This window comes from Homo sapiens, chromosome 5, assembly GCF_000001405.40.
Source record: "Homo sapiens chromosome 5, GRCh38.p14 Primary Assembly".
Classification (NCBI taxonomy): Eukaryota; Metazoa; Chordata; class Mammalia; order Primates; family Hominidae; genus Homo; species Homo sapiens.
The window spans coordinates 115,921,915-115,932,243 of record NC_000005.10 but is presented as its reverse complement, the minus strand read 5'-3'; the positions used below and the strand labels follow the sequence as shown (position 1 = coordinate 115,932,243).

At 43.0% G+C, this 10,329-nt stretch overlaps 1 annotated feature.

Moving 5' to 3' along the window:
* Positions 1,092 to 2,291: an enhancer, noted in NCBI's record as "P300/CBP strongly-dependent group 1 enhancer chr5:115265650-115266849 (GRCh37/hg19 assembly coordinates)". NCBI's record gives its function as "activates an origin of replication core promoter dependent on BRD2, BRD4, P300/CBP, MED14 and CDK7 cofactors, with strong dependence on P300/CBP, by STARR-seq in HCT116 cells {active_cell/tissue: HCT116}" and the evidence as "EXISTENCE:reporter gene assay evidence [ECO:0000049][PMID:35650434]".

Sequence of the window (10,329 nt, the reverse complement as noted above, 5' to 3'; positions counted from 1 at the left end):
ATTAGACTGGATCCACCCAGGAAAATATTCCTCTTTGTTAATTCAAAGTCAACTGGGTAGGAACCTTAATGACATCTACAAAAGTCGCTTTACCTTTGCCACATAATGTAATCTAGTCACAGAAGTAAAGTCGTATCATATTCCCACACATTGCCCACACAACGGGGAGGGGATTATTCAGGGTTTGTACACTAGGATGCACAGATCTGGGGGACTATCTTAAACATTCTACGTATCATAATATCCTACTCCTTCCTACCAATTTAAATGCTTCTCAAAATCTCTCTCACATCCCACTTCTTTACAAAGTCTTTCAATGCTCATTTTCGTAGCTAACAAAATTGAGTCTCAGAGAGTATATGACAATGACTCCACTGATTAACAGCAGAGCCAGTACCACAGAGTTATTTCACCTCTGTAGCCATTACTTTCTGCATAGCAAAGGTAGGAGTTTAATGTGAAAATTTCTCAGGTCTCCCTGGCTCTAACAGCTATAGATGCAAGTGGGATGGCTCTGCGGTGAGAAACTGGGCAGGTCACTATGGGGGAACAGAGCAGTTCAACTTTCATCTTATTCACATATTGTCATACCAAGTAAAATTTTGTGTGAACCAAAATTTCAAGAGCTTCAGAAAAGGAGCTTGAACACCAAGGATTTAGCCTAGCCTCATCTTATGGATTAGAAATATAAGGACCTTTCTTACTCAACATGTCCAATTCTGGGAAGTGAGATGAAAGCCTTAATTGAGGGGTTGATTTGAGTCAGTACAGAGAACAATGGGCTTCTCACAAAAGTAAAGCACACATTACGTGTGAAGATGTCCGTGTCTTAATTCTTAGAATTTGTAAGTGTTGTTTTATATGCTAAAAGGTGCTTGGCAAAAGTGATTCAGTGAAGGATCTTCAAATGGGGAGATTACCTTGGGTTATCCTGGGGGGTTCTATGTAATCACAGGAGGCCCTAGAAGAGGGAGGCAGAAGATCAGAGAAAAAGAAGGCAATATGAAGAGGAGCAGAGAGAGATTTGAAGATGCTATACTCCTGACTTGGGACATGGAGAAAGGGGCCATAAGCCAGGGAATGTAAGGAATGCAGCTCTAGAAACTGGAAAAGACAAGGAAAATATTCTCTCCTGGAGCCTCCAGGAACCAGCCTTTCACTTTGCCTTTAGAGCAGTGAAACTGATTTTAGATTTCTAACCTCCTGCAAGAGAATAAACTTGTCTTGTTTCGAGCTGCTAAACTTGTAATAATCTGTTTCGGCAATAGGACACTGATATGTTAGGCATTAGGAGAGAAGTGTATGTCCAGGGGATATGTTAAAATAGAACAGGGATTCTCAAACTTTTTTGACTGCAACTTTTGATAAGGAATACATTTTACATCAATATCCAATATTGTCAGAGGCGTGTGAACCAGAGCAACTCCATCTTAAACAGGAGCTGGGTAAAATGAGGCTGAATCCTACTGGGCTGCATTCCCAGACGGTGAAGGCATTCTAAGTCACAGGATGAGATAGGAGGTCAGCACAAAATACAGGTCATAAAGACCTTGATGATAAAACAGGTTGCAATTGTTAGATATGAGTTCTAAATTTCTTTTCAAAGAATCAATATGTCAGTATGTTCAATTTTTTGCCTTCTACTTTTAAACTTAACTTCCTCGTAAAGCAACCTTTTTCGATCACCTGCCCCATCCTGACTAATTCCGATTACCTACTCCACCCTGACTCATTCCGATTACCTGACGCACCCTGACTCATTCCGATTACCTGCTCCACCCTGATTCATTCCGATTACCGGCTCCACCCTGACTCATTCCTGTTACCTGATGCACCCTGACTAATTCCAATTACCTACTCCACCCTGACTCATTCCGATTACCTGACGCACCCTGACTCATTCCGATTACCTGCTCCACCCTGATTCATTCCAATTACCGGCTCCGCCGTAAGTCATTCCGATTACCTGATGCACCCTGACTCATTCCAATTACTTGCTCTGTCATAACCATTTTTCCCGCCACACCACTCACCCCGTCGATCTCTTTAAATTAGCCAATCAGAATTAGTTTAGCCTGCACGGTCTAACCCTGGCCAATAGCAGAAAGACACAACAACGGGGGCCACGTGCGTCAGGGATAAGAACCCCTTCCCCTCCCTTGTCCAAGTGTGCGCTCATCGTTGCTCCATCTGTAAGGGTGCACCCTTCTATAGAAGTACCTTGCCTTGCTGAGAATTAAAAACAAACATTTATTTTCGAGTACTATTTCTTTTGTGGCACTGAAACTTTATAACACAGTAAAAGAGCCAGCCAAAACCCCCCAAAACCAAAATGGCAACGAGAGTGACTTCTGCTCTTCCTCACTGCTACATTCCCACCAGCACCATGACAGTTTACAAATGCCATGGCAACATCAGGAAGTTACCCTATATGGTTTAAAAAGGGGAGGCATGAATAATCCACCCCAAATAACCATAAAAATGGACAACCAGCAGCTCCCGGGGCTGCTTTGTCTATAGAGTAGCCATTCTTTTATTCCTTTACTTTCTTAATAAACTTTCTTTCACTTTGCACCACGGACTAGCCCTGAATTCATTCTTGCACGAGATCCAAGAACCCTCTCTTGGGGTCTGGATCGGGACTCCTTTCTGGTAACAATATGACTAAACATACAGCTGTGCACACACACAGAATAAAAAATCTTGCAAATCAGTATTATTCCACAAAATGTATTGATATTTTCTGTATTATTTTATTCTATTCCATTATTTCATTTTTTAAAAAATATTGGTTAGGACCCACTAAATAGATTGCATAATCCCTTAATCAGTATCTAACACTGGCATTCAAGGAAGAGAGTAGACTCTGAGAAGTGTAGACTGGGATCCAACTGAAAGGGGCTTTAAATGTCAGCCTCTTGACAGCATATGATAAATGCCTCTTAGTAGTTCATAGTTGGTGCCACTGCCATCAGGGCCCTAACAAAGTACAGACTATATACCAAGTGTTTCCCTAGAACTCTGAATTCTCTCTGTCAGTAGTTCTCAACTGAGGTTGGCTTTGCAACCCAGACTCATTCCAATTACCTGCTGCACCCTGACTCATTCCCAATTACCTGCTCCACCCTGATTCATTCCGATTACCTGCTCCACCCTGACTCATTCCGATTACCTGCTCCACCCTGACTCATTCCGATTACCTGCTCCACCCTGACTCATTCCGATTACCTGATGCACCCTGACTCATTCCGATTACCTGCTCCACCCTGACTCATTCCGATTACCTGATGCACCCTGACTCATTCCGATTACCTGATGCACCCTGACTCATTCCGATTACCTGCTCCACCCTGACTCATTCCGATTACCTGCTCCACCCTGACTCATTCCGATTACCTGATGCACCCTGACTCATAGGTGTCATAATAATGTTGGGCAGTGTCTGGAGATATTTTTGCTGTTACGACTTGGAGGGGGGGCTGTTGTTGGCATCTAGTGGGTAGAAACCAGGGATGCTGCTGCTAATCATCCTGCAATGCACAGGACACCCCCCCAACAACGATGAATTATCCAGCCCAAAATGTAAGTGCAGAGGTTGAAAGATCCTGCTCTGGCTGGATCTTCTCTCAGTCAGTTGTGTCCAGCAGTTCAATCTCTTTTGAAATCCTTCCCCAGCTGTGTCCTCCCTGTGCTCCAAAACTATGCCTCTCCTACCTGGTGTAAAACATCACAAGCTCTTATGAATTAGGCTTTTGATAAGTGATGGCTGCATTAAAAAGAGTGTATTATATAGTGAATCTGAAAGTGGTGATTGTGGATATGTGCAAAAGATCATCTTGGCACACGGTGGCCTATTCCAGGTTGCCACTGCCAGACTACTAAACAAGCAAATCTGCAAATTGTTTCAAATCTCCAGAACTACAGGGTAGCTAATTTCTGTCATCTAAACATGCATTTTAGTTTGGTAGATTTTACTGCAATCACATTTAAAGTACATTTAAAGATCATTTGAACAGGGCATAGGTAGTACTGGTCCAGTGAAAACTGAAAAGATAATGACTTCCACATTATAAAGCTGTTTAGAAGCTCTTTTTGTGCAAAAAATAATTTTACCAGTGTCTCTAATCCTATGTGGTCCATTGTAGGGCACTAGAAAGCAGCTTAAAGGTAGAAGGAATAGTCAGTAACCAGCGTCTGTTGTTTCTACAAATAACTAGCATAAAATATACCACATGTATGGGAAATAATATCTAATTAAAGCCAACATGGGACAACTTTCTGGGAGGCCCAGGCCACATTCACAGGGCCAGCTCATTGGAGTGGGGGTAGGGATAGAGTGGTGGTGGCGGTTAGTGTCAAAGGATGGAATATGAAAATAATCTATTTTAGCCTCCATATTGGGGGGAGAGGTCTTTGAAAAACATGAATATGTATTGTTAATAATTCTAGAATAAAGGTTTTTTAGGTTTGTGTATAGTATCTCTTCTGGTTTCATTGGAACATGAAAAGTACCTATAAAAATAAACTCCAGGAAGTGGAAGGTAAACTACAAAGGGAGTTTTAAATGTAAAAATTAGAACCTCTGCCCCTTCAAACTAAAACAGCTTCACTGTGGAAAATACTCTGATCTTAATTTCTGTGCTGCAATATGCAGTCTCTCCCCAACCCTAAGAGAGACTGGCGTAGTGGTGAGGAAAGGTCTTAGCACACCAAAATTCGGGAGCTTGAGTAGTTAAGAACGGTATCAGAGAGAGAAGGTTCCAGATGAGCACGTTCCAAGGAACAAACACTTGAAAGTGAAAAACTATTTACTAACCAGTGACTTGTTCCTTCTGTATTTGTATGGTCTTACTGCTGAGGCAAAGGCATGTAAGTTAAAAAAAAAAAAAGCCACAATTTTATGAAATGCTGAACTTCTTTGTGTTTGGCACATGCTAAGCACTCTATATGGCATGTAATCATCACAATAGTTCTATGAGGTAAGTACCACTGGCATTCCTATTTACAGATGAGAAAACAGACTTACAGAGATTATTTGGTTTAATTAAAAGACCAAACTAGGTTTGGAAATCGTGTTTTGACTCTAGAAGCCATGTAATTAATCACCCTCGGATATGCAGGACATGGAATTCTTTCAAACACTGACAATGGTTTATTTTATGATGGGCTCAAAGTAAAGGGACTTGTTAAGGTGTGGATGGTTGAAACGTTGGATATCAGTGAGTTTCTTTTTATTTTCTTTTTATTTATTTATTTTTTTTGAGACGGAGTCTTGCAGTGTTGCCAGGCTGGAATGCAGTGGCGCGATCTCTGCTCACTGCAACCTCCACCTCCTGGGTTCAAGTGATTCCCCTGCCTCAGCCTCCTGAGTAGCTGGGACTACAGGCGCCCACCACCACGCCCAGCTAATTTTTTGCATTTTTTAGTAGAGACAGGGTTTCACCATGTTGGCCAGAATGGTCTCGATCTCCTGACCTCATGATCCACCTGCCTCGACCTCCCAAAGTGCTGGGATTACAGGCCTGAGACACCACACCCAGCCATCAGTAAGTTCCTTTTTATCTTTTTCCCAATCCTATTCATTTTACTAAGCAATCTATTATAGAAGCTAGTTATAACATAGAAATTATATTTCCCAAATCCTGTGATCTTACACAGGCAAGTTACCTAGTATATAATAGGATATATATATATATATATATATATATGCAGTGGGTAACTTGATAGGCTATATATATATATAGTGTGAGGAGGCAGAGTATGTTAAATGTTTTGGTTTTGGCATCTCACTGAGTGAGCTGTATTGTCAGTAGTAGCAGAGTCCTAATGAAATCTGTCTCCAAAATGGCTGTGATTTCCACTAGATGAGCCATTATAGCTACTATTTATGGTACTCTGAAAGACACTCTTTTGGTCAGACTTCAATGAGCTGTGGAGTAACGGTGGATGCAAACTCCTTTCTTTGCCTACTGGTCTCCTGATTTGAGGAGCCAGAAGGACTAGAAGGCAGCTGCAGACTAAAAGCTAATGTGACTCTCGTTCTGCTTGAAAGCAGCATTTCCTTTTTGGGAACCAAGACTTCTATACCCATAGATCCTAGACTTGTGAGGACCAGAAGCACAAATTTCCCAAGTGGATCACTGGGAGAAGTGGGGCCGCTCCTACTTTTACCTCTTGATGCCTCGACTTACGGAGTCTACCTACTGGAGACACAGCACCATATATTTGTTATAATTAGGGTATATGTTACATCCTATAGAATATGTCCCTCTTCACAAGGTATCATCTCCAAGCTGGTGTTCAGGTGTCCCTTTAAAAGGCCATTTCATTACTCTATCAATCTAGCAGCTTCTAGGTTTCGGGGCTTGTGACAAGACCAGTCAATCAGTCTCATTGATCTGTATTCACTGCTGTACCTCCTTTGTTGTAAAGTGAATTCCTTGGTCCTTTGTGAGGTTATGTAGGATCCTAGGTAGGTGGATCAAACCCTTTGTAGGTCCTTGGATAGTGTTGTTGGCTGAGGCCATGCAGCCAGGAAAGGAAAGTTCATATCCAGAATATGTATCAATTCCAGTCAGAATTAATTTGCTCCCTATTCAAGATGGAAGGCATCCAAAGTTACTTGCCACCAAGTGGCTGGTTTCCTCAAGCGAAGGTGCTGAATCAGGGGCTGAGCCTTGCTCTCTGTTACTGGTAGATGGGATATTTGACACAAGCAGTAGCTCAATCAGCCTTGGTGAGCAGAAGCCCCTGCTGTTAGGACCATGTGCAGCCTCCATCCCTGTCACTATGGCTTCTCTACTCAAGTTCCTATTGTGCCAACACTGCAGTGGCCAATAACAGAGGCAGAGTGACATTCTAGTGAGTCTTTCTGTCTATTTGATTGTGTAAGCACCTCTTTGTGATAGATGCTCTCTGTCAGGTAACATACGATTCAGACTTTTCAGATACCAAACAAAAAGAAAGATTGTATTTTCATGCTTATTCCCATAGATTCACCCACATGCCTCCTATCCAAACCTCCTTGTTCCTGATCTTCTGATCCATTAACTAACCAGCCAAGCCATTAGCTATTGCCTATGCTTCCATAAGTACTCTTACCTTGGGCCACTTTTACTTTCATACCCAGTGGATGCCCATGTGCACAACTCAAATGTTCTGCCCATTGGAAGCGTTTCTCCTCACCATTGTCTTACCCAGGAGCTGAGGGAAAGGCATTGGTCAACAGTGGAAAACGAAACTGGGGCCAGGACTTGTGCAGCTAACGTGTGCACTCTGGCCCCATTCTTTCCCATGTACACCACTTCCATCTTAGCAGAGATCTTTGCTGGGTCTGCCTAGCCTTATGATTTTGTGGGCTGGACAGATCTCAGGTCAGTTCTGGAAGCATGATCACTTGTGTCAACCAGGGCGCAGTAGCACCCAAGGAATTGTTTTTCAAATGGTCTATAATTTTCTACTATGGGGGTCATGGCTTGGTTGCAGAATTCTAGGGGGCCTATGTTGTTATTCTCCAACTGGAACATGCCCAGAAACACCACATGACACCCTTTCCCATCACTGACAGCTCTAATATCATTGGGTTTGTTAGGTAGTATGGTCCAAGAGGAAGAATCATTTGCCTCATAGCCTGGACCTACTGCAGAGCCCTTTTTTGTTCTGAGACTCATTCGGAGCTGGATGCTATTTGTGTAAATGGGTTGGAATAGTGTTCTCTGTATGACATATGCTGCCTCCAGAATCTGAAGGGGCCTACCAACCACTGTGCTTACTTCTGAGTGGGGAAGTTATGAAATACAATATTCCTTTGACAGGGATATCATAGACCTTTGGATCCCAGACCCCTGAATCTTTATAGGGTTTCTCTTTCAACCACTGTGGGCATGTATCTTACCGAGGCCTTTGATATGTTTGTAATTTCTTGTTCATGCAGTCCAAATCACACAATTTTATCAATCTGTGGACTAATGTGATATAATGTCCAGAGGATCCAGATCCTTTGACTATATTATGACGACGGGCAGATGAGTTAACATTTATAGTTGACAGTTGTGCATCCAAAGTGAATGTGAACTTTCTAGACTTCCCTCCTATAAGGGATGGGAAAGAAGGCATTTCCCAGATCAATGGCCACATACCAACTATCTGAGGGCCTTATTAATCTGCCCTAACAAAGATAATACATCTGCCACAGCAGGTATAATTGGCCAATTTGCAGTAGTCCACTGTCATCCTCAAGGATCCATCTGTAGGGAGCAGACTGGTCAATTAAGTGGGACATGATGGAGACCCATTCCTGAATCCTTTTAGGTCTTTAAACATGGCATTAATCTCTGCCCTTGCCCCCAAGTTACAATATTGTCATTTACTTATTATCCTGGCTAAGAGTGGTGTAGGGGCAGTTTCAAAGATTCCACTTAGTATTCCTTTCTACTGTATCTTTTATCCCACAGACTGGGGAACCACTGTAAGGTTTTACCAAACACTCATACCAGTTAGATATATTCGAGGATAAGGAAAACATAATAACCATGAGGTGGACCTGTGGACCCAGTGGACTCAATATAAACTAGACCTGGGCCAGGACTAAATGTATTACCCAGCCCTCCTATGTTCCCAGTGTAATAGGGGAAGGGGCGATGATGATGGTTGGTCCCTGGGAATCAATGGCAACTTGGAAACTGTGCCCAATAATTCCCAGTACATTGGGTTTTCCATTACCCAGTGCACAGTTACCCAAGAAAGTCCCTTCAGGGGAAGCACTGGGAAAATAATTAGCTTATGCATTTGTGGTGGTATTGCAGGGTGCTTCCTCCTGGAGATTTGGCGTTTCTGTTAATCAATGAGTTCTGGATCTGAGAACTGGCTCAGAACCAGACACTAGTAAAGGGTTCATGACTTTTTATTCCAGCAGCTGCTCTCAGCCTCCTGATGATCCATTCTTGATTTCTTTTGGTTGTACAGATTAGGCAATGTCTTTACTGGCTGCCCATCCATCTTACATCTACTGAAGCCATGTTCCATTAAACATGTCTATAGCAAACTGCAGACCGTAACACTTGGCTGACACCTTGCAATTCATTAAGATAACTTATCCACTTTTCTCCCGGCAGTGAAGTGCACGACCTAACCGCTGTTATTTCAGGACCCCATCATCCCTATTATTATCAGAGCACCCAGTTCTGTAACATTTCCTACCCTCAGCCCTGGCCTTCAGAGGACAGCCACTTCTGAGCTTCTGAATGATGCTGATGCCCCTTTAAACAGCACATTCTTTATTGCTTTGGTAAACAGTCACCTCTGGGCCTTCCTGCCTTACACAGTATGTTCACTCTAGCACACATACTTCTCTGAGCCTTTTGATCTCTTAGCTGCCTTAGTAGTTCTGGTTATACTTCACTTAGCTAGGCCTAAGTAAGTGGCTCAGGCTTTCTCCAAGCTTCCCAAAATTACCCTAGCCACGGGGTAGCACTGTCTTGCCAGATTATTATATCTTTTATCATTGGAAAGTGCTTAAATAACCTCTCATTCAACTTTATGTTCCTTCCCCCTTGACCCAGAACCCTCAGGATCCAGGCCCACCTGTACTCTTTCAGCTCCTCCAGGTTTGTTTTGGCAAAGTTCTACAGCCAAACTTAAGCCCTGGGGCTGCTCCTCAGCCTTTCCTGTCCTCCAGCTGCAGGAGATGAGAGTTTTCATATGCTGCCAAGGAGGCCCTCTGGCCTTCATAAATAGCCTTGCTTGGTGATTAATTACTGTCAGCATTTCTCTATACAGTGATTGCCCAGAAAAGCCATCCAATCCCATGCTCTTTATAATTACTACTTCCCTTGGACTTCTCAAATGCCTGAAACATTGTTCGTATCAGGGCATTCCCAGTATCCCATCCCAGTTCACCACCAGTGAAAGTTTCCACAATTACATTGTTATAGCATGCAATGCTATAACTTTTACTGCCACCAGTAATAGGGTCCTTCATCATTGCCAGCCTGCCAATGCTGATCCAGCTCCAAAATGTCATTTTAGAATCTGCTTCTGGCTGGGTGTGGTGGCTCATGCCTGTAATCCCAGCACTTTGGGAGGCCGAGGTGGGTGAATCACCTGAGGTCGGGAATTCGAGACCAGCCTGACCAACATGGCGAAACCCTGCCTCTACTAAAAATACAAAATTAGCCAGGCGTGGTGGCGCATGCCTGTAATCCCAGCTACTCGGGAAGCTGAGGCAGGAGAATCACTTGAACCTGGAGGTGGAGGTTGCAGTGAGCCAAGATCACGCCATTGCACTCCAGCCTGGGCAACAAGAGCAAAACTGTCTCAAAAAAAAAAAAA